The sequence below is a fragment of the Homo sapiens genome, chromosome 11, assembly GCF_000001405.40.
Source record: "Homo sapiens chromosome 11, GRCh38.p14 Primary Assembly".
Classification (NCBI taxonomy): Eukaryota; Metazoa; Chordata; class Mammalia; order Primates; family Hominidae; genus Homo; species Homo sapiens.
Window position 1 is genome coordinate 110,425,016 of NC_000011.10, and position 24,823 is coordinate 110,449,838.

Consider the following 24,823-nt stretch of genomic DNA (forward strand, 5'->3'; position numbering starts at 1 on the left):
AAAAAGACATTTAATAAGGGATTCTCTTCAACCTCGATGGAAAGGCCCATACTAGGTACTATTAACTAATCTACGTGCCACAAAATTAGAGGGTATAGCCTCATGGATTCACATCTCTCATCTTAAAAAGACACAAACTCCTGAGTGGACTGTAACTCCTATCAAAGACCTTCACCTCCAGTTCACTAAACATTGACCTTCAACCCAGCATAGAAGCAGATGACAGCTGTGTGGACTGTTTAACCCCAAGACACAGGACAAGGCCTGTAAACAAAAGAATGCCTATGTTTATTGTATAATAACCATGACAATTATTGTCCCAGAGCTACTGGCAACTGCTGTCTTACAAAGAACAGGACACTTGCCTTGTCTGATTTAACATCCTTTTAGTAGCTAAATGAATTTTACAACCTTGCTATTATTGACCCTATATCCCTACACCTTCTTGCCATTTTCACCCACTGACTCCAGTGAAACAAACCTGTTTCTACAATAGGCTCAGGAGTATGCAGACAGATTACAAAAGGACACCTGCTGGATATACAGACTCATGCCTCTTTCCAGTGGCTCTGGCCTGCCATGGTAGGTATCCTCCTTCCAAGGTTAGGACCAAAAATTTATTATATCACAGAAATGGTCTGGTATTCTTAGTGCTGGCATAAGAGAACAAGGAAGATGGGAAAAGTTTTTCAATGGAAAGGACCAGCTCATTAGCTCTCACTTTAGCATCCCCCACAACTAAAAAAAAAAAGGTGGTAATTATGCCCCAAACAACAGCCCATTTCAAAATGGAATAATGCAAATTTGGGATGAATTTCTCTGGCTCACCCCTTCATTTGGCCAACTCAGCCAAAATGCTGGGAGCAAAGAAACCACACCAAGGATTTATGGCCAGAAAGTATGAGAAATATGGGGTGGATACTGGGAGAATGCTGTGACCACATTATCATATTACAAGACATTGACTGGCATGCCACCGATTGGTTGTAGCAACTAGGTATTTATTGGCTAGCTCCAAATGGGACATATTGGCTGTGTGGTACTAACTTACGGCTGTGGTCACCTCCAGGGTGATTAGGAAAATGTTCCCCAGGTTACGCTTGAGAACAGGGGTGAATAATTCAGACCCTGCCAAAACCAGCAAGCCTTTTTCATTTACGATCTCACTGGACACGTTCAGTATTCCAGGGGCATGATCACTTGAAGATTGAAGCTAAGTATTGAAGACATTATATGGCCTATAGAGGCCTTAATGAATTACACCAAAAAGGCCCTAAATGATAGCCAGATGAGTATCCCGTTGCTAAATAATGAGGTCATGCTTTTGAGGAAAGCTGTGTTGCAAAACCATATGGCCTCAGATATACTCACAGCAGCACAGCGGGGGGCCTGCACCATCATAAAAGCTGAATGCTGTGTGTATATTCCACATGAATCGAAGAACATAACCTGACTTATGACTGATATGAAACCCCGGAAAACCAACCTGTCAGATCCAAAACCCTCACTAATCAATTGGTTGAGTGATTGGTTTGCATCCTGGGGAAGTTGGTGGCAGAAGCTGTTGCTTATAATAGGAATAATAATAATAATAATAATTTCTGTTCTGTCCTGTTTCTGCTTACAGTGTTGTTAAGGTATGTGCTTGCAAATAAGTCCACACACAACTGAAAGGGCTAGGGTAATGATTGCCCAGGGAATTGCTCTAATTGAGGAGGCAGTAATATAACCTGACCCACCTTCCAGGTTTGCTTCCTATTTGTTGCTATACATCTGGCCTAGGTCCATATATATATACATATATATGTGTGTGTGTGTGTATTTTTTTTTCTTTTCCTTCTTTTTTCCCATTTTTTTTTATCTTCATGGGACATAATGTCTTAGGAATGAGCCTTCATAGCAACGTGGGACCTGAACTTCTAGGAGTTAACCAACCTAGTGAGGAGAAACCAGCTCAAAAGAAAAGGAAGAAAAAACAACCCTAGGCCAGAAAGCTGTATTCCTTCTAAAATGCTTTCTCCAAAAGATTTTAAAGAAAAAGAAGGGAAAATGTGAAAGGAAATTAAATCTTGAGACCCCAAACTCATTAAGCCAAAGGGAAAAGTTAAGCTAGGAACTGGGTCATGCAAATCTGCGTCCCCCTTTTGGTTTGTAAATAAGATGGCTACAAGATGAAAAGCTACATGTCTCCTCCATATTTTGCCCACAAAGAAATTCCTAGTGAGCTGCAAGATCTTTTAAGGTATTTCTGTTAAAATTTCACCATGGCAATGTAAATGGATAGATTATCTTTACAGATGCAGTCACCCTGCTGCCCACCAAACACAAATGAATATCTCATTGTTCCCCTGCCCCATTTTGCCTATGCTATCTTACGTAAAAATGTAGATTTCCTGCATTTTTCCTCTGCTCCATTTGTCTCTGTCATCTTATATATAAAAAAAAGCAGATGCACTGAGCTAGACAAGGGTATGAATGACTATTTTTCCTTATCCCGCCATACATGAAAATTATGTACTTCTCAATATCCCACCTTTTCCCCTTTAAATTTGGAGCCTTCAAAATCATCTTCAGAGAAAGGCATAGAACTGTCTCCTGGGCGTGCATCCTTAACTTTGGCAAATCAATCTCCTAAAATGATTGAGAATTGTCTCATCATTTTTCTCGATTGACACCTTTATAAAAGGGTTGGAGGAAATTGGCATGTTTGCCCTTCTTGCAGCATGTGAGGACACAGCAACAGGACACCATCTTGGAAGCAGAGACTGGGCCTCTCTATCAGACATTAAACCAGTTGGCACCTGGGCGACCCAGTATCCAGAACTGTGAGAAAATAAATTCCTGTTCTTTACACATTACCCAGTCTGTGTGTTATTCTGTTATAGCATCATAAACAGAATAAGACAAAAGTCTTCAAACAATGAATGGATTTTGAAAGGAGTAAAAGATGGGCTGGGCATGGTGGCTCATGCCTGTAGTCCCGGCACTTTGGAAGGCTGAGGTGGGCAGATTGCTTGAGCTCAGGAGTTCCAGACTAGCCTGGGCAACATGGCAAAACCCCATCTCTAAGGAAAAAAAGAAAAAAAAAGGGATGGAGGGGTGGGAGTTTTATAGACAAAGAAATACATAAGCAAACAGATAAGCAAAAGCACGTCCTCAGTAATTCCATGTTGCTTTATCTGTATTCATGATCATGTTTACAAATCCATTCTGGAATTCTGCTGACTACTGATATTTGCAATTTTTGGCATTACTTCTCATCCACCTTAGAAAACCTGGAGAACATTTTTTCTATCTTTAATCTTCATATACATGCTTAATGAATTCTGATGATTATTAATGGAAATTTCATAACATCAATTTATTCACCAATATTTATTAGACCCTTGATATGTTCAAGACCCTGTAGCTGGTGCTGTCGGAGTCACTAAGATGAACTATATAAATAACTACTCTATGTGTACGAATAACTACCCTACAAAGCAGAAAGCTATCAAGTGCCTTAAGGGAGTTGAAACTGTATTTGCTACAGGAGGGCTGAGAGAAGACAGAACATCTACGATTTTTTTTCTTTTCAATTCTCTTCCTACAACTAATTCATCCGACCTTGGAAGTTTGGTCTTACTAAAAACAAAAGTTAGCTGTTCTTTTACAACCTCCTCTTCAAGATTACTTGTCAGGGTTTGCTGTGCCCTTCGCAGCTTGAAAGACTTTCTCTTCATCCAACGATTTGAGGCAATTAGGAGCCACTGCCTTCTCTCTGCCATTGGGTTCCAGAAAGCACCATACATTGTCCGCAGATACTTTACTCATGCTTACACTTTCTTGTTCTGAATCTTCAAAAATTAGTGGCGTGTGGTGGCACACGCCTGTAGTCCTAGCTACTCGGGAGGCTGAGGCAGGAGAATCACTTGAACCTGGGAGGCGGAGGTTGCAGTGAGCCGAGATTTCGCCACTGCACTACAGCCTGGGCAGAATAGAGAGACCCCATGTCAAAAAAAGAAAAAAAAAGTATCTGATTGTGTTTAGCATATCTGCAATATCCCCTTGACTTTGGCCTTTAGCCTCTTTATGAGTACCCTGATGGAGGAAGGCCCAGGAAGCGGTAGCCTTCCTGGTTTGTGACGCACGGTGTGCATTGCGTATTAGATTAACATCAGAATGGCCCTGAAGGCTGGAACATCTTATCTGTGTTTGAGAGTTATGGAAACTCTGATCCTCCATGAGAATAATTTTTCCAAGGTCTCAGATCTCTAAAGCAGTAGATCTTGGATCTGAACATTGCTATTTCTGACCTTAAAGCCCATGCATTTCCCACAACATATGAACCATGATAAGGTGTATTTTAAAGTTCATCTTTTCTGTTTTTTGTGAAAGTCTTTTAGAGATCTCAGCTCATCACAAAGTTTCCGGTTCAGTCTCGTGGGTTTCATGTACTCAGCCAGCATTTACTTGCCAGTCAAGGTCTAGGATGGCTACCTGTCCTCTGCAGGAGCCCCAAGCCTATTCATTAATTTCATTTACAATTTTATAGTCATAATTATTTCTTTGTATAATAGCATTCTGAGATTTTCCAAAATTTCCCACTGTTTTTGTTTTACAGTGGGCAGAATTCACTTTGCTCTAACTTGACTCCAAGATGACACAATTTCCCAGTTTTTTTTTTAACGGCTAGGGGATGGGGGTATGCGGAACAGAACACAGTGGTCTAGCTAACCGATTTCCGCTAGACGTCCAGCTATCTTTCAAAATATTTTGTTTCTGCACGGCAACTTCAGCCGCTAAAAAAGCATCCAGCTTACAACGGAACCTGGAGGGTTGGTAAAGGCCCCCTGCGCTGGCCCCGCCCCATGGGACCGGGCGGCGTGGGCGTGAGAGGCGGGGCGGGGCCGCGCTCTGCTTGCCAATGTCTTTATAGGTCACCCGGAAGGCACGCGGAACCTCGGCGCGGTGCTTCCAGCAGGGTCTCTCCGCCACTCCAGCCCCGCGCCCCTCGCCGCGGCCCTCGGGCGTCTGCGCCGCAGCTGCCGCCCCCGCCTCTTTGGAGTCTCTCGCGGCCTCAAAGCGCGGCCTGCGTCGCTTCCGGCAGTTCCCGACCGCGGGCGATGGCTGCCGCTGGGGGCGCCCGGCTGCTGCGCGCCGCTTCTGCTGTCCTCGGCGGCCCGGCCGGCCGGTGGCTGCACCACGCTGGGTCCCGCGCTGGATCCAGCGGCCTGCTGAGGAACCGGGGGCCGGGCGGGAGCGCGGAGGCGAGCCGGTCGCTGAGCGTGTCGGCGCGGGCCCGGAGCAGGTAGGGCGCCGTGCGGGCGCGATCGCCGGCGCGGGCCGGGGTCCCCGGTGGGTGGCGCCTGGCTCTCTGGGCCGAGTCTCTGGTTCCAGTGCCTTCTGCGCGCCGGGCCCACACCCCGGAGGCCTGCCTCTCGCCCCCCTCTTCTGGGGTGCTCTCGCGGCTCCGTCTCGCTGCTCGGTGGCGTCGCTGCCTCCCTTCCGTCGCACCGCAGAGTTCCTTTCCGCATCACCCACTCCCGGCGGGAATCGGGGACCCTGGACGCCCAGCTCCCTTTCCCAGCGCTTCCCGTGCCCTGAGGAAAGCCGGGACTTTGCTGCTGCTTGTTCTCCGTGTGATTTGTCTGGGATCTGACCTTTGCTCTGCCCGAAACTGGCAGTGACCTTCGCGACAGGCTTCCCTCCTGCTGTCCTGGCCTGACACACCTGCCAGCTGTTTTTTTCAGGGCCTTGCCCTGCTTTGAGAGGACACCCAGGTCCCAGGTCTTTGTCAGGGGGTGTCCAGGTAGAATACACCCAGCCCATACCCTCTGCTGCCCTGTAGGCCCTTTGCTAGTTGCTCAAGTGTTGAAAGCCCCTGCGTTGAAGTAATCTGCCGGGACTTGAAACTTGGCTTTGGCACTGATTGTCTGACGTGCCTAACTTGGTCAGTCCTTAGGAACCCAGTTTCTCCATTTGCAAGTTGGATATAATAACAGTGTAGACCTCCTATGGTTAATTGAAGAATCAATGAGTTAATACAGCGATACAGGTAGTCTTGTGCCTAGCACGTAATGAGGGCTCAGTAGATGCCACTTGGTAGCAGCAGCAGCAGCAGCAGCAGCAGCAGCAGCAGCTTCTTAGGTTCACAATGTTAAGAGAGTTTTGTATTAAATATTGAAAGAAATGTGACAATTTATCCCAAATGTGTTGAAGTTTTAGGTTCTTGGGCATATTTGTTTTTCAAAGACACTCCTTAGATATACTAGAGATACAATTTACACATAATTTTTACCAACATGGTGGCGATTTATATAATGCAGATCTCTCGACAGCTCTTTGACCGCATGATGTAGGGTAGCAGGAATCGAGAACTAGAGGGAGAGTGTGTTGGATTTGTACGCTGCTTTGTCTAGTTTCTTTTTGAGGTCTCTGAGAGCAGGGTCTAAGACTTTCAGTCATCTTTTCCCCACTAATCCCGTTATCTAGTGGGTGCTCCATACATTTTTGTTGTGTGAACTTTGGGGGAAATCAGGGAGAAGGCAAGCCAGATTTATTTGTTCCTGTTTCCTCTGCACTTCCCCCCCTGTCTTTGACCAGTGTGGGTACCTTGCTTTCTGTTATACAATGGATGAGTTTTGGACAACTGAATCAATTGGGACAGATATTGAACATGCTTGTGTAACTGGTATAAGGGAACATGAATGTTTTTGTAGTAATTGGGAGTTATCTTTCTCAGATTTGTTTTTTGGATTTGGATATGTCAGGTTGTTTTAAAGGGGAGCACGTCTATTTCCTCATAATCCTGCTGCCCTCTTTATTGGCACAATTTCTATTCATGGTCTTATCATTCCTCTTACAGACTTTGGAGCTACAACTGGATTTTCCAGTTCTTACTGTGTTAATGAGACTTGTGCTGTAACTACCGTAACTACTAATCACATGTGGCTATTGAAGTTTAACATAATTAAAGGTAAATAAAATTAAAGATTCAATCTCGTAGTTACACTAGCCACATTTCGAGTTCTCAGTAGCCACATGTGGCTAGTGGCTACTGTATTGGACATTGCAAGTATGTGTAGAACATCTTTGTTATGGCACAAAGTTCTTATAGACAGACAGAGCAGTTCTAGAAACTGTAGTTCTGTCTTTGAAGTTTAACAACTCGATAAGCTATCAGTAATTGAGAGTCAGAAAAACTCCTTTTACTCTAAAATACCGTGACACAAGGGGGTTTGCAGTGATTCAGGTAGCAAAGATCTTTCACGTGTATTGTTTCGTATGACTCTTAAGACAATTCTATGAGGTAGGGAGGGTAGATAAATGGGAATAAAAATTTCATATTAAGTAGCTGGCAAAACTAGGACTAGAACTCAAGAAGTTTTTGCGGATTTTAAAAAAATTTTAAATTTCTATTTATTTTTAAAATTTCAGTAGTTTTGGGGGCACAGGTGGTGTTTGGTTAATGGGTTAGTTCTTTAGTGGTGATTTTGGAGGTGTTGGTGTACTCTTCACCTGAGTGCAGTGGTGCCATCATGGCTCACTGCAGCCTACACCTCCCAGGTTCAAGCGATTCTCGTGCCTCAGCCACCCGAATATCTGGGATTACAGGCGCGTGCCACCACACTCGGCTAAGTTTTGTAGTTTTAGTAGAGATGAGATTTCACTATGTTGACCAGCCTGGTCTGGAACCCCTGGCCTCAAGTAATCTGCCTGCTTCAGCCTCCCAAAGTATTGGGATTACAGGCGTGAGTGACCACTCCCAGCATAGGGTCTACATCTTCTGACTCTTAGGTTCCATACTCTTTCAACTTAAGAATTACATTTTTCTTTCGTTTCCGCCTCCTCTCCTCTTCTTTGGTAAACCTGTTAATACTCTTACTTGGCAGTTTTTTGTAGGGCTGTTTACCTTTAATACAGACCAACAGGTTGGGCTTCTTAGCAAAAGGGCTTGGTCTTTAAATAACAGTTATTAATCAGTGTGTGTTGAATTCTACTATGTGTTACGTATTTTGCATACATTGTCAGAACTATAAGATTAATGTTGTCCAATTTTATAGAAGAGGAGGCTGATGTAAGAGATTTCGAATTCCTTTGCTGTAAGCTTAGCTCTAGAGTGCTTCAGAAGAACAGCAACGCTGAAACCTCTGGCTTTCAGTAGTGTGTATAAATGATGGAATTCTTTCTAATGTGCTTCCTGTAGCTTTAGCTACCAGGCATTCGTTGATGTCAAATCTCTAGACTTCTCTGCTGGGCTCAGACCCATACCCATATTGCCATCTGGTGTTTGGACATTCTCATCTGGCTTTTTCATTATTAAATTCAGCAGGTCTAAGCTTCAACTTATTTCTGTCTTCCCCAAAGTTCCTTTGGTTCCTGTCTTAAACCTAGGTTAAATGGTACCACCTAATTGTGTGAGCTGGAAATCCCAATGTTTTTCTTTCCGCTTTTCAGTTTATCTTATGTAGATGGTCACTAAAACCTTTTGGTCTACCTCCTGGATGTCTGTTAAGTCACTGCATTCTCTGTCCCTGATTAGTTTATGCTGTTTTGATAACCTCCAAAGTGGCCTCCCTGCCTCTAGGGTATTTTCATTCTCAGCCATTGTACTTTGAAAAAAATGGCAGTTATTCATGTTGAAAATTATGAATAATATGTGGGAATACTAGTTTTAAAGCATGTTTTGGCTGTGAAAAGAAGTTGGAGAGCGCAGGCCCTTTTGAGGAACATTCTGGTACACACACACACACCCTTTTGATGAGTTTTAATGAATAGAATCCTGTTTTTTTTCCCAGTGTTATAATATTAGGGAGGGCATTATCCCAGTGGGGCTTCAGTTGCCTCATTTGTGAAATGGGATCACTGGACTTGATAACTTTCGAGATAGTTATGGCTCTGAAATTATTTAATTCTGAGTTTTACTTAAAGATTTGTTTGATGGGCTATTGCCATCTACTGGTAGTAATAAGAATAACAACTCATTATTTTAAGTTGAAGAGAATCTTTTCAAGTGTGAGGTAAAAATTAAAATGACCAATGGTGGAGGAATAAGGATCTAGTTTTTAGTATAATGGCTTCTCAAATTTTGGAGGGATGTTTGTGAGAAGTGAAGGAAATTTAAGTCAGCTAGCTGATAGTTAACATACTATCTTAAAAAAACATGTAAGGAGGTATTTATCTTACAGATTCAAACAAATAAACTTTTTCTAGTCCCTTTGATTTGTAAGTATACAATGTGGACTGAAATGAGATGTCAAATACGCAGAAAACTACTAAACAACATCTCTCAGCAGTAGTATTCTATGTAGCACTGGAAAAGCAATCGCCCTATTGATTTTTTTTTTTTTTTTTTTGGAGACAGAGTTTCACTCTGCCACCCGGGCTGGAGTGCAGTGGTTTGATCTCGGCTCACTGCAACCTCTGCCTTCCGGGTTCAAGCGATTCTCCTGCCTCAGCCTCCCGAGTAGCTGGGATTACAGGCATGTACCACCATGCCTAATTTTTGTATTTTTAGTAGAGACGGGGTTTCGCCATGTTGGCCAGGCTGGTCTTGAACTTCTGACCTCAGGTAATCCGCCCGCCTTGGCCTCCCAAAGTGTTGGAATTACAGGCGTGAGTCACCATGCTCGGCCATGATTTGCTTTTTAGAAGCTCACTACAACCCTGGTCTAGTCTTTTATGGACACATTCATGTTTTTCAGAGAGCTGTGTGATGACTTTTTTTGTTTTTTTTTTTTTTTTTTTTTTTGAGACAGGGCCTTGAGCTGTTGCCCAGGTTAGAGTGCAATGGTGTAATCACGGCTCACTGCAGCCCTGAACTTCTGGGATCGGGTGATCCACCTCAGCCCCATGAGTAGCTGGTACTATGGGCAAATACCACCATGCCTTTTATTTTTCATACACCTACAACCATCTCATTTTTATTTTTATTTTTTGTAGCAATAGGGTCTCTCTGTGTTGCTCAGGCTGGTCTCAAACTCCTGGGCTCAAGCAGTCCCCTGCCTCGGCCTCCCAAAGTGCTAGGAGTACAGGTATGAGCCACCACACTTGGCCTTTTCTTTTTTAAATGACAGGGTCTTGCTGTGTTGCCCAGGCTGGAGTGCAGTGGTGCAATCATATCCCATTGCAGCCTCTTCCTCCTCCTGGGCTCAAGGGATCCTCCCGTTTCAGCCTCCCAATTAGCTGGGACTACAGATCACATCACCACACCTGGCTAATTATTTTATTTTTTGTAAAGATGGGATCTTGCCATGTTGCCCAGGCTGGTCTCAAACTTCTGGCGTCAAACAATCTTCCCACTTCAGCTTCTCGAAGTACTGGGGTTACAGGTGCAAGCTACTGCACTGGCTTGTATGAGAGTAAAATAGAGTTCATGAGTGATAATAATTGCCAAATGTTTTATAACTGTGACTATTAGGGAGACATATACTGAGGCCACCAGGTGGCGTTGACCAGGTAGTCATTGCCATTTCCTGTAAGGTAGTAGAGCTTATTACCTGGTAGGTGGGTAGATATATATGCCTTTGATTTCCAAATAAGCTTTGGAAAGAAAAGAAAATACCTTCGGCTAGGCATGGTGGCTCAGGCCTGTAATCTCAGAGTTTTAGGAGGCCAAGTTGAGAAGATGGCTTGAGGCCAGGAATTTGAGACCAGCTTGAGCAACATGGTGGCACCCCGTCACTACAAAAAATAAAAATAAAAAAAATTAGCCAGGCGTGGTGCTGGGCACCTGTATTCCCATCTACTCTGGAGGCCTTATAGGCTTTTAAACCAATTATTTTAAATTATGTTTTGAAATTACTAAAAATACTAAAGGACTGTTTTTTTTTCCAGCTCAGAAGATAAAATAACAGTCCACTTTATAAACCGTGATGGTGAAACATTAACAACCAAAGGAAAAGTTGGTGATTCTCTGCTAGATGTTGTGGTTGAAAATAATCTAGATATTGATGGCTTTGGTGAGTATGAAACATTTCTTAAAATGCATAAGTGAAACTGTTAGGTTTCAAATTTTTATTTTGTGGTTTTTTTTTTTGAAGAAGTTTAACCTATAGCATGCTATGTAAAATATTAACATTCAGGATGTGTTAGTGTTATATTCTTGTTTATAAAGAATAATAGAGTGACACCATTGTTCTGTTCTTTGTACATTTAAATAAGTCATGGCCAGAAATCTGCTGTGGCCTCATTACCTTACTGTTTATATGTGTGATACAAAGCCGACGGTAGGGAGTAGAGTTAAAAGATACCAGGTTAGAGAGAATAAATGTCATAGCACAGAGGGGTACTTAAATATCTTGAATGTCAGCTCACCTTCCTAGGAAAGGTAACTTATCCTAGAAAGTGATTTATTTAGAAAGTTTTCATTTTTAGACTTCTGACCATATGCCTTAACTACACGTGCAAAGCCTGTGTTCCTGCAACTGCCCTTTTACACTTCCTCAGGCGTACCCTGTATATGACCTGTCAGTTTTGTTCAAGCAATGCATGTTTAGATTAGCAGTTCTCAGAGGGTTTCCTTGACCGTTAGCATTAGTGTCACCTGGGAAATGCAGATTCTCAGACACTCCTCCCCCACCCACCGCCCCCACCCCCGCCCCAGACTTACTGAGTCACAAAGTCTGGGGTAGGTCCAGCATTGCATGTTGTAACAGCTGTCTGTGTGATTTTGATGCATGTTCAAGTTTGAGAACCACTGGTCTGGAATAAGGTTCAAGGAGCGTATCTGACTCTGCTTCTTTCAAGGCACTGTTCACATTATCCTTTAAAGAACCATTTCTAGATCAGAATTAATTTATCTCTCTTCTGTTTTCCCATGATATATTAAATCTACCTCTCTTTGTTAATGCTTATAACAGTTTTCCTTTTTAGAGAGAATGGCTATCTTTCTTATTAGATTATTAGTTTTTGAAAGACTGTACTCCATGAGGTTACCTGAGTCACCTCATGGAGTAGGCTTTGTCCAGAGTTGGCACTCAATAATATTTGCTGAATATCTTTTTAAAAATTTTTTGAGACAGGATCTTGCTCTGTCACCCAGGCTGAAGTGCGGTCGTGCAATCACAGTTCACTGCAGCCTCGACCTCCTGGACTCAAGTGATCCTCCTGACTCCGCCTCCTGAGTAGCTGGGACTGCAGGTGCACCATCACACCTGGCTGAATTTTGTATTTTTTGTAGAGACAGTGTTTTGCCACATTGCCCAGCCTGGTCTTGAACTCCTGGGCTCAAGAGATCTTCCTGCCTTGGCCTCCCAAAGTGCTGGCATTACAGGCGTGAGCCACCATGCCCAGCCTTGAATACTGAATCTAAGTATTTTTTGCTAGTTTTAAAATAATTATAACAACTAGAATTTGAGTGTATACTATATTCTAGCATATGTTAAATGAAGTAGATTTTTTTTTTAACTCTCCATTTGATAGTTGAAGAAACTTGAGTCTCATGGAAATTAAGTTTCCCTGGTTATACATGCAGCAAGTGAGAGGGCTAAGACTCAAACCTGTCTTGAAGTCAAGATGGTATATCTCATTGTGGTTTTGATTTGTATTTCTCTGGTGATTAGTGATGTTGAACATTTTTCCGTATGTTTGTTGGCCGCTTTTATGTCTGTGTCTTCTTTTGAGAGGTGTCTGTTCATGTCTTTTTATTTTCCAACTTTTATTTAGATTCAGGGAGTACATGTGCAGGTTTGTTAAATGGATGTATCATGTGATGCTGAAGTCTGGAGTATGAGTGATCCTGTCACCTAGGCAGTAGGCTTAGAAACCAATAGGTAGTTTTCCTCCTTGCCCCTCTCCCTTCCCCCTCTGGTAGTGCCCAGTATCTACTGTTCCCAACTTTATGTCCATGGGACCCAGTATTTAGCTTGCACTTATAAGTGAGAACACTTTGCTTTTCTGGTTCTGTGTTAATTTACTCGGGATAATGGCCTTGAGCTGTATCCATGTTGCTGGAAAGGACATAGTTTTATTCTTTTTATGGCTGCATATTCCGTGGTATATGTGTATTACATTTTCTTTATCCAATCCACCATTGACAGGCACCCAGACTGATTCCATATGTTTGCTATTATGAATAGTGCTGAGGTAAACATACGAGAGCATGTGTCTTTTGGTAGAATTATTTGTTTTCTCTTGGGTATGTACCCAGTACTGGGATTGCTTGGTTGAATGGTAGTTCCATTTTTAGTTCTTTGAGAAATCTCCAAACTGCTTTCCACAGCAGCTTAACTAATTTACATTCCCACCAGGACTGTCTTAAGTGTTTCCTTTTCTCCGCAGCCTTGCCAACATCTGTAATTTTTTGACTTTTTAATGATATTCTTTATGACTGGTGCAAGATGGTATCTCATTGTGGTTTTGATTTGCAGAGTGGAGTATTTTTTCATGTTTCATGTTTGTTGACCACTTGTATGTCTTCTTTTTTAAATATTTATTTATTTATTTTTGACACAAAGTCTCACTGTCACCCAGGCTGGAGTGCAGTGGCGCAGTCTGGGCTCACTGCAACCTTCGCCTCCCAAGTTCAAGCGATTCTCCTGCCTCAGTCTCCTGAGTAGCTGGAATTATAAAGGTGTGCCACCACGGCTAGCAAATTTTTATATTTTTAGTAGTTTTATATTTTTATAATTTTATGATTATTTTCAAATTTTATATTTTTAGTTTTGCCGCATTGACCAGGCTGGTCTTGAATTCCTGACCTCAAGTGATCTGCCTACTTCGGCCTCCCAAAGTGCTGGGATTACAGGCGTGAGCCACCATGCCTGACTTCTGCCCGCTTTTTAATGAAGTTATTTGTTTTTTGCTTGTTGATCTGTTTAAGTTCCCTATTGATTCTGGATATTAGACCTTTGTTGGATTCATAGTTTGTGAATATTTTCTCTCATTCTGTAGGGTGTTTACTTTGTTTTTTTGTTTGTTTTTTGAGACGGAGTCTTGTTCTGTCGCCCAGGCTAGAGTGCAATGATGTGATCTCGGCTTGCTGATTCACCTCCACCTCCTGGGTTCAAGTGATTCTCCTGCCTCAGCCTCTTGAGTAGCTGGGATTACAGGCACTCACTACCACGCCCAGCTAATTTTTGTATTTTTAGTAGAGATAGGGTTTCACCATGTTGGCCAGGCTGGTCTGGAACTCCTGATCTCAAATGATCTGCCCACCTTGGCCTCCCAAGTACTGGGATTACAGGTGTCAGCCACCATGCCTGCTCTGCCCACTTCCCCCCAACCCCGAGACGGAGTCTCACTCTGTTGTCCAGGTTGGAGTGCAGTGCTACTGTCTTAGCTCACTGCACCCTTCACCTCCTGGGTTAAAGCAATTCTCCTACCTCAGCTTCCCGAGTACCTGGGATTACAGGTGCATGCTACCATGCCCGGCTAATTTTTTTGTATTTTTAGTAGAGATGGGGTTTCCCATGTTGGCCAGGCTAGTCTCGAACTCCTGACCTCATGATCTGCCCGATTTGGCCTCCCAAAGTGCTGGGATTACAGGTGTGAGCCACCACACCCGGCCCTCTGCCCACTTTTTAATGAGGTTATTTGTTTTTTGCTTGTTGATCTGTTTAAGTTCCCTATAGATTCTGGATATTAGACCTTTGTTGGATGCATAGATTGTGAATATTTTTTCTCATTTTCTAGGGTGTTTACTTTGTTGATAGTTTCTTTAATGTGTCGAAGCTCTTTAATCAGGTCCCATTTGTCAATTTTTGTTTTTGTTGCAATTGATTTTGAGGACTTAGTCATAAAAATTCTTTGCCGAGGCCAATTTCCAGGAGAGCATTTCTGAGGTTTTCTTCTAGGACTTTTGTAGCTTTAGATCTTACATTTAAGTCTTTAATCTATTTTGAGTTAAATTTTGTATACAGTGATAGGTAGGGGTCTAGTTTCATTTTTCTGCATATAATAGCCATCAATCCCAGCACTGTTTACTGAATAGGGAGTTCTTTCCTCATTGCTTATTTTTGTTGACTTTGTGAAAGATCAGATTTTCTAGATGTATGGCTTTATTTTTCGGGTCTCTATTCTGTTCCTTTGGTCTGTGTGTCTAGGTTTTCTAGGTTGTGTGCATAGGGGTGCTGATAATAGTCTCTAGGATCTTTGTATCTTTATGGGATTGGTTGTAATGCCATCTTTGTCATTTCTAATTATTCTTATTTGGATCATCTCTTTTTTTTTCTTTGTTAATCTAGCTAGTGGTCTATCCATTTTGTTTATTCTTTCAGAAAAGCAACTTTTGGTTTTGTTGATCCTTTGTATAGATTTTTGGGTCTCGATTTTGTTCAGTTCTGCTTTGAGTTTGTTATTTCTTCTGCTAGCTTTGGGTTTTTTGTTTTTCAAGTTCTTCTAGGTTAATTTTAGATTGTTAATTTGAGATCTTTCTAACTCCTCAATATAGGCGGTCAGTGCTCTAAACTTCATCTTAGCACTACTTTTGCTGCATCCCAGAGATTTTGGTATCTGTGTCTCTGCTTTTATTTATTTCAAAGAATTTTTTGATTTCTGCCATATGGTGGAGCCACTTTAGCTGGTAGAAATATTTTCTGATCTTTGACAGAATGGGTAAACCATGCTATTGTTTGTGTGCATTGGAAGTTGTGGCTGTTGTGCTGTTGAAAAAATTTAAATCTTAATATCTCATAACAGTGTTAACTAAACTTTCATTTAGTGATGGTGTGGTACTGAAATATGTCCCAAATCAATAACATTGGAATGGATGCTAAACATGATCTAACACAAAAAAAGGCTAAACAATCAGCCTGACGTTTGGTGCTGTTAATTTAGGTGTAGATACTGTAAAGACAAAAGTACTTAGAAAATAGGATTTTAAAAAGACATTACGGTAGGAATATTTTTAAGCTCACAAAAAAATCACTTGGTGAAGGGTAATGGAAAACAATACTGGTGGTCTGGCTGTGTCCACACCCAAATCTCATCTTGAATTCCCACCTGTTATAGGAGGGACCCAGTGGGAGGTAATTGAATCCTGGGGGCAGGTCTTTCTTATGCTGTTCTTGTGACAGTGAATAAATCTCACAAGATCTGACAATTTTATAAGAGGGAGTTTCCCTGCACAAGCTCTCTGCATGCCTGCTGCCATCCATGTAAGATATGACTTGCTTCTTCTTGCCTTCTGCCAGTATTGTGAGGCTTCCTCAGCCACATGGAACTGTAAGTCCATTAAACACTTTTTCCTGTATAAATTACCCAGTTTCGGATATGTCTTTGTCAGCAGTGTGAAAATGGACTAATAAAGCAAATTGGTACGAGGAGTAGGGTGCTGCTGAAAAGATACCCCAAATGTGGAAGCAACTTTGGAACCAGGTAACAGGCAGACATTGGAACAGTTTGGAGGGCTCAGGAGAAGATAGGAAAATATGGGAAAGTTTGGAACTCCCTAGAGACTTGTGGAATGGCTTTGGCCAAAATGCTGATAACGATATGGACAATGAAATTCAGGCTGAGGTGGTCTCAGATGGAGACGAGGAACTTGTTGGGAATTGGAGTAAAGGTGACTCTTGCTATGTTTTAGCAAAGAGACTAGCGCATTTTGCCCCTGCCCTAGAGATTTGTGGAACTTTGAACTTAAGAGATGATACTTAGGGTATCTGGCAGAAGAAATTTCTAAGCAGCAAATCATTCAAGAGGTGACTTGGGTGCTGTTAAAGGCATTCAGTTTTAAAAGGAAACAGCATAAAAAAGTTTGGAAAATTTGCAGCCTGACAATGTGATAGAAAAGAAAACCCCATTTTCTGGGGAAAAATTCAAGCTGGCTGCAGAAATTTGGGTAAGGAATGAGGAGCTGAAAGTTAATCCCTGAGATACTGGGGAAAATGTCTCCAGGGCATGTCAGAGATCTTCATGGCAGCCCCTCCCATCACAGGCCTGGAAGCCTAGGAGGAAAAAGTGGTTTTGTGGGCTGGGCCCAGGGCCCCCTTGCTGTGTACAGCCTAGGGACTTGGTGCTCTGTGTCCCAGCTGTCCCAGCTGTGGCTGAAAGGGGCCAATGTAGAGCTAGGGCCGTGGCTTCAGAGTGTGCAAACCTCAAGCCTTGGCAGCTTCCATGTGGTATTGAGCCTGCTAGTGTACAGAAGTCAAGAACTGGGGCTTGGGAACCTCCGCCTAGATTTCAGAGGATGTATGGAAATGCCTAGATGTTCCAGGCAGTAGTTTTTTGCAGGGCAGGGCTCTCATGGAGAACTTCTGCTAGGGCAGTGCAGAAGGGAAATGTGGGGTTGGAGCCCCCACACAGAGTCCCTATTGGGGCACCGCCTAGTGGAGCTGTGCGAAGAGGGCCACTGCCCTCCAAACCTCAGAATGGTAGATCCACTGACAGCTTGCATGATATGCCTGGAAAAGCCACAGACACTCAATGCCAGCCCATGAAAGCAGCCAGGAGGGAGGCTGTATCCTGCAAAGCCACAGGGGTGGAGCTGCCCAAGACCATGGGAACCCAGCTCTTGCATCAGTGTGACCTGGATGTGAGACATGTAGTCAAAGGAGATCATTTTGGAGCTTTAAGATTTGACTGCCCTGCTGGATTTTGGACTTGCATGGGGTCTGTAGCCCCTTTGTTTTGACCGATTTCTCCCATTTGGAATAGCTATATTTACCCAATGCCTGTACCCCCATTGTATCTAGGAAGTAACTAACTTGCTTTTGATTTTACAGGCTCATAGGCAGAAGGGACTTGCCTTATCTTGGATGAGACTTTGGACTGTGGACTTTTGAATTAATGCTGAAAAGAGTTAAGACTGTTGGAAAGGCATGATTGGTTTTGAAATGTGAGGACATGAGATTTGGGAGGGACCAGGGGCAGAATGATATGGTCTAGCCATGTCCCCTCCTATCCAGACCTCATCTTGAATTCCCACGGGTTGTGGGAGGGACCCAGTGGTAGGTAATTGAATCTTGGGGGCAGGTCTTTCCCATGCTGTTCTCCTGACAGTGAATAAGACTCACAATATCTGACAGTTTTATAAGGGGAGGGGGGTTCCCTGCACAAGCTCTCTGCCTGACGCCATCCATGTAAGATGTGACTTGTTCCTCGTTGCCTTCTGCCAGGATTGTGAGGCTTCCCCAGCCATTGTGGAACTGTAAGTTCATTAAACCCTTTTTCCTGTATAAATTACCCAGTTTCAGGTATGTCTTTATCAGCAGCATGAAAATGGACTAATACAATTGGTTACATAGTTGAAGACACAAAACTGTGGCAGTGTACCTCAGTCTGCAATGGCTGATGTTTATGGGTGCTGAAAATTCATCTTTACCCCTGCCCTGCCCCGCTACCTTTTTTTTTTCTGTAGGAAAATGTCTCAAGTTTTAAATTATGTAAAGCTTTCAGCACTAGCATCTTTGGTATAAAAAAAGATGATGGGATTTAGATTATCTTCCCTCCCCACCACATCATTTAACATGCCGTCTGTGGTTTTTGGACTTAATAATATCCTTTTTTTTTTTTTTTTTTTGAGACGTAGTTTTGCTCTTTTTGCCCAGGCTGGAATGCAATGGCACGATCTCGGCTCATTGCAACCTCTGCCTCCCTGGTTCAAGTGATTCTCCTGCCTTAGCCTCCTGAGTAGCTGGGATTACAGGTGTCTACCACCACGCCCACCTAATTTTTAAAATATTTTTAGCAGAGACGGGGTTTCACCATGTTGGGCAGGCTGGTTTCGAACTCCTGACCTCAAGTGATCCGCCTGCCTTGGCCTCCCAAAGTGCTAGAATTACAGGTGTGAGCCACTACGCCTTGGCCAACAGCTAATGCCCTTTCTGATTGGTGTGAGATGGTATCTCATTGTGGTTTTGATTTGCATTTCTCTGATGATTAGTGATGTGGAGCATTTTTTTCATGTTTGTTGGCTGCTTGTATGGCTTTTTTTGAGAAGTGTCTGTTCATGTCCTTTGCCTATTTTTTTAATGAGGTTGTTTTTTGCTTATTGATTTAAGTTCCCTATAGATTCTGGATATTAGACCTTTGTTAGATGCATAGTTGGTGAATATTTTCTCCCACTCTGTAGGTTGTCTGTTTACTTTGTTGATAGTTTTTTTTGCTGTCTAGAAGCTCTTTGTTTAATTAGATCCCACTTACCAATTTTTGCTTTTGTTGCAATTGCTTTTGGAGACTTAGCCAAAAATCCTTTGCCAATCCAATGTCTAGAAGAGTATTTCCTTGATTGTCTTTTTTATAGTTTGAGGTCTTAAATTTAAATCTTTGATCCATTTTGGGTTAATTTTTGTGTATGGTGAAAGGTAGGGAGTCCAAGTTCAGACTTCTGCCTATGGCTAGCCAGGCATCCCAGCACCATTATTGAATACGGAGTCTCTTAAAAAGAGTAAGTGCTGTCCGGGCGCGTTGGCTCATGCCTGTAATCCTGGCACTTTGGGAGGCCAAGGCAGGCAGATCACTTGAGGTCAGGAGTTTGAGACTAGCCTGGCCAACATGGTGAAGCCCCATCTCTACTAAAAATACAAAAATTAGCCAGGTGTGGTGGCATACACCTGTAGTCCCAGCTACTTGGGAGGCTGAGGCACCAGAATCACTTGAATCTGGGAGGCGGAGGTTGCAGTGAGCTGAGATTGTGCCTCTGTACTCCACCCTGGGTGACTGAGCAAGACTGTCTCAAAAAAAAAAGAAAATATATGTGTGTGTGTGTGTGTGTATATATATATATACGTATATATATATATATATACACGTATATATATATATATACGTATATATATATATATACGTATATATATATATATATATACACGTATATATATATATATATATTTGCAGAACAACCTCTGAGCTGCCTCACTCTGGGCACACTGCCTATGGGATAGCTGTGCTCCACAAGGAGTCCTACTTCTGCTGCTGCTGTATGCTGCTGCTTCAATGAAAGTTGCTATTTAACACGACCGACCCGCCCTGAATCGTTTCCTGGGCAAAGCTAAGAACCTTCCTGGGCTAAGCCCCAATTTTGGGGCCTGTCTACCCTGCATCAATTCTATATGAATTTTAGAATAGTTTTTTTATAATTCTGTGAAAAATGATGTTGGTAGTTTGATAGGAATAGTGTTGAATCTGTAAATTGCTTTGGGCAGTATTATTTGCTTATTTTTCTGATGAGGTATTGTTTATTTTTATAGGTTAGCAAAAGCTCTTTAAATGTCCTATTTGATAAAAATTGTGAAGATGAAAATTTTAAACATTTATTTAAATGGCTTCCAACTGCTATTTTACATGAAGTTACATATTCTCAAAATAGTGTAAAATGCTTTTTGCATAAATAATTTGTGTGGATTGCTTTATATTAATTTCTTCTAAATTAAAACATAAGTATTATGATCTTAATACTTGAAAGTATTCTTTTAAGTTTTTAAAAGTATTTTTTTCTTCATCACTTGTGACTATATATTACAGTACAGTTTTTTTTAAACCGCAGGTGACAACTATTACAAGGTCATGAAATCAATTTAGTCACTCCCAACTAGCATTTTAAAGAAATCAAAAAGAACATATAAAAACATATCATCTTTTGCAAGGGTATTATCTTAGGAAATGTTTATTTAGCTATTTTACAAGTATATATGTACTGGGTCATGATGTAAAATGAAATTCGTACTGTGAGTCACAGTTAAATAAAGTTTTTTCTGAAAGTCATTGGTTGGAATGGAAGAATGTCCTGCCTGGGCTTCTTTCCCAGCTGTATCCCTTTTTCAGCTTTGTGACCTTGGGTTGGGTATCTAACCTACTCATAACTCATCTTTTCATCTGTAAAGCAGGGATAATATTAATATCTACCTCATAAAGTTGCTGTAAAGATCAAATGAGTAAATCCAAGCAAGTCCTAAATAAATATTAGCTAATATTGTTAACATAGGTATTAATACAGATTCATTGTTCATTATAGCAAATTTTAAAAATACATTTAAAAAGAATTTAACACTTCATATCATCACACAGAGATAAGCACTGAAATAATCTTTTTTCCGAATACCCAAGAAATATAGAAAATTTAATGTAAATTTAAAAATTCTGCTGGTATCATAGAAATTCGCGTATTCAGACTCAGAAGAAAAGCTTTAAAGATCAAGTATCCTGACATGTCCACAAATCTTTGTATTTAAAGATAAGCTTGAGATAAGTAAGCTAAACTAGATTCACCAAAGACAGAGTTAAGCCTAAGCTTCTTTCTAGAATAAAGATGAGAGAAATGAAATCAGGAAGGGTGCAATGTTATCATTATAAAGAAGAGCTTATTACCACAACATTATGGGGGCAGCTGTTTCATTAATTCCTAAGGCTGAATGCAGGAGCCCATCTAAACACTGCATTTGTCATAAGTCATACAGATGAACACCGTACTCCAAACATGGCTGACCGAAGTACTTAGTTTCTTTACAGTTTCTCCCTGGGTGATCTCATCCGTTCTGTGACCTTAAATCCTTTCTAGATATTGATAAACTCTTAAATTTACATCCTTAGCTCAGACCTCTCCTCTGAGCCCTGATTTACAGATCTAACTTCTTGCTTTACATCACTTCTTGGAAATCTAACATATTTAAAACAGCTTTTGCCTTTTTTCCTCCTGATGAAACCTGTCCTTCCTCGAGTCTTTCCTACCTCAGTAATGAGCACCACCCGGCTGCTCGAACCTGAAACCGTAGAGCACCATTCCTTCCTCTTTCTTCCCAACCTGACATCCAGTCCATCGGCACCTCCTGCCAGTTGTGCCCCCAAGATTCGCCTCCAGCATGTCCTGTTGGCTCCATCCCTACAGTCGGCACGAGGGGCTGGCCAGCCACTGGGCGCCTGGAGCTGTGCTAACCTGCTTCTGCTCTGGAGTTTAACAGCCAGGTAATTTGTCCTAACAGAAATCAGACATGTCAGTCCCCTGATTAAAAGCCATGAGTGGGCCAGGCACAGTGGCTGACGCCTGTAATCCCTGCACTTTGGGAGGCCTAGGTGGGCAGATCACAAGGTCACGAGTTTGAGACCAGCCTGGGCAACATGGTGAAAACCCGTCTCTACTAAAAATACAAAAATTAGCCAGGTGTGGTGGCGTGCACCTGTAATTTCAGCTACTTGGGGAGGCCAAGGCAGGAGAATTGCTTTAACCCAGGAGTCAGAGGTTGCAGTGAGCTGAGATTGCACCATTGCACTCCAGCCTGGGTTACAGACTAAGACTCCATCTTGGAAAAAAAAAAAAAAAACCGAGATGGGCGGATCACGAGGTCAAGAGATTGAGACCATCCTGGCCAACATAATGAAACCCCGTCTCTACTAAAAATACAAAAAAAAAAAAAAAAAAAAAAAAAAAAAACCCAGCTGGGCATGGTGGTGCATGCCTGTAATCCCAGCTACTTGGGAGGCTGAGGCAGGAGAATTCCTCGAACCAGGGAGTCGGAGGTTGCAGTGAGCCGAGATTGCACCACTGTACTCCAGTCTGGCAGCAAAGTGAGACTCCTTCAAACAAACAAACAAAAAACCATGAGTGTCTTCCTTTGCACATAGGATAAAATCTGTATTCCCAGCCGTAAAAGGCTCTGCATTATCTGGCCCCATCTGCCACTCTTCCTCTTTTTTGTTTTTTTCTCATTGTTCTTTGTCTCACTTTGGTGATACTGGCCTTTTCTCAAGAGCTTGAACTCACCCAAAATTCCTACCTTTGAGACTTTGTATATACTTTACCCTCTCCCTGAGACACATCCCTCTCTCTCCCATCCCCAAAATTTAGCTTTTCATCTATCAAATCTCAATTTATGTACTTCCTTAGCGAGGCTTTGCCCAGCCACCCAGTCCAAAGTAGTGGTTCTCTTGTTACCCTGAACCCATTATTCTCTTTCTCAGCATCTTGTTCACTTGTTTTATAGTATTTGTCACAGTTTAGTAATTATGTATTTCTTGTGTATCTTTCCCAATAGACTGCGATGAGGGATAAAGTCATTCCTGTTTAATTCCTCATTGTATACGAAATGAAGTAATAAGTGAACACATGAATAAAAAGGGACAGTCATAAATTTTGGAAACAGTTCAAACTTATAAACATTCTCATTGCCAACTTTTATATTAATATAGATCTTTTGGATGATGCAGGTACCTGTTTTCAGAGTGTATCATAATATTCTGTCACTAGGGGGCAGTTACACACCTGAGATTCAACTTACCTAGTTTACTCTCAAGACATTTTTTTCTTCAATATTACCTGTTTTCTTCATGTGTCTGTTTTGAGGGAAATTATACAAATTGGAAGATCCTGATTGTGTTTGTATAAGTTTATTTGTATTCCCCTCATGCTTGAGTCCCTATTGATATAATGTATTTCTGACTATGCTAGATCAATCTTTAATCTAGAAAATTAGATTTTATATTTACACATAATTTCCATTTCTAATATATAATATTCCCACACAGCCATCCTCTAGATTTTTGTTTGGGAAAGGGGTTAGGTGTCGGGGCAGGCAATTGTATTGTCAGCATCGTAGTAGATAATACAAAATGATCTTAATATGAGATGCACACACACAAAATGTCTTTTCCCGTTGGCAAACACTCAAGTTACATGAAAGGAAAGGAGCAGAGCAGTCTGCAGAGATCTGACTTTCTCTAGGAATTAATTTCACAGCTACAACTTCTGAGGATTTGCCCAAGTACTTACTATCATTATTCCTGTTTTAAAAAAACAAAACTTGGTTCATGAGTTCACCAACCTTGAAATTAGTAAGCATGCTTTACTATTCTTCATGTCATTTTATATGCATATATTTGAAATTGTGCAGATTAACAGTATTGAGATTCTTACTCTAGCAAAATCAGAAGCATTGCAGAAACCAAAACTGTTGTCAGGAATCCTGTAATTTTAAGCTGGCAGGCTGTGTGAGTTGTAAATTTTACATTTGTTACTGCAGCTAAAGATGGACCATTTTAGCTAATAAACAAATCCCTGCCATCCTTTGTCAGCACCATGTGAACCATGCTGTTTATAGACATCTGAATATCTGTATGATTTTCTTGACTATGGTGATGATATTTTAAACTGTGGTTATAATTTAAAATCATTTTTAAAGCCTGTATCAGTTTCAGCCAAGCATTAAGTGCTAATACTGAAAAATGTATCTGAAAATGAGTTATTTTGGAATAGAGGTTAGATATAACAAAATGTTAGGAAGAAAGCCAAAAACCTGTCATGATACATACTACTGTTAATTTAGGAGAAAGCACTCTGAATTGTTAGCCAGTATGTAAACAAAATCAAAGCAGTACTAAAATGTATATACTTTTAAGTTCATGAAAATTGTTGTATAACCAAGCCAGGATGGTGGCTAAAATGCTAGCACCAGGGGCTAATATCAGTGTTGCTGTAAGGTGTTCCTAAATCAGGTTATTATCTGTGCTAAGGCATGAAGTATGTTATTATTATTAATTTTAATTGACAGATCATAATTGTATTTATGGGGTAGGTACAGTGTGATGTTTTGATACATGTATACAATGTGGAATGATTAACTTAAGCTAATAAACATATCCTTCACCTCACTTATTTTTTGTGATGAGACATCTGAAATTTACTGTTAGTAACTTTTGAAATACACAATACATTATTATTAACTGCAGTCACCATGCTGTTGCTATAGATTTTTTAAAATTAATTTTTTATAATATTTTGAGACAGAGTCTTACTCTGTCACTCAGGCTGGAGTGCAGTGGCATGATGTTGGCTCACTGCAGCCTCCACCTCCTGGGTTGAAGTGATTCTTGTGTCTCAGCCTTCCTAATAGCTGGGATTATAGGTGAGCACCACCACACCCAGCTAATTTTTGTATTTTTAGTAAAGATGGGGTTTCACCATGTTGGCCAG

General features: G+C 41.5%; 1 protein-coding gene across 2 annotated transcripts in view, besides 2 other annotated features; it reads left to right on the forward strand.

Annotated features, from left to right (window-relative positions):
* The first annotated feature begins 4,315 nt into the window (after positions 1-4,315).
* Positions 4,316-24,823, forward strand: part of FDX1 (ferredoxin 1) — a 35,554-nt gene continuing 15,046 nt past the window's right edge. Inside the window, exons 1-2 of one of the 2 annotated variants that reach the window (XM_047426566.1) lie at positions 4,316-4,338; positions 10,819-10,943. In XM_047426566.1, the coding sequence (XP_047282522.1) occupies positions 4,331-4,338; positions 10,819-10,943 (133 nt within the window). In that variant the 5' untranslated portion in view covers positions 4,316-4,330. Of the gene's footprint in view, positions 4,339-4,932; positions 5,291-10,818; positions 10,944-24,823 lie in introns of those variants that run through there. The other variant, NM_004109.5, reaches the window with a different exon arrangement.
* Positions 4,747-5,396: a silencer, noted in NCBI's record as "silent region_3891". NCBI's record gives its function as "represses an Ori minimal core promoter by ATAC-STARR-seq in GM12878 lymphoblastoid cells {active_cell/tissue: GM12878}" and the evidence as "EXISTENCE:reporter gene assay evidence [ECO:0000049][PMID:35858748]".
* Positions 5,467-5,746: an enhancer, noted in NCBI's record as "active region_5503". NCBI's record gives its function as "activates an Ori minimal core promoter by ATAC-STARR-seq in GM12878 lymphoblastoid cells {active_cell/tissue: GM12878}" and the evidence as "EXISTENCE:reporter gene assay evidence [ECO:0000049][PMID:35858748]".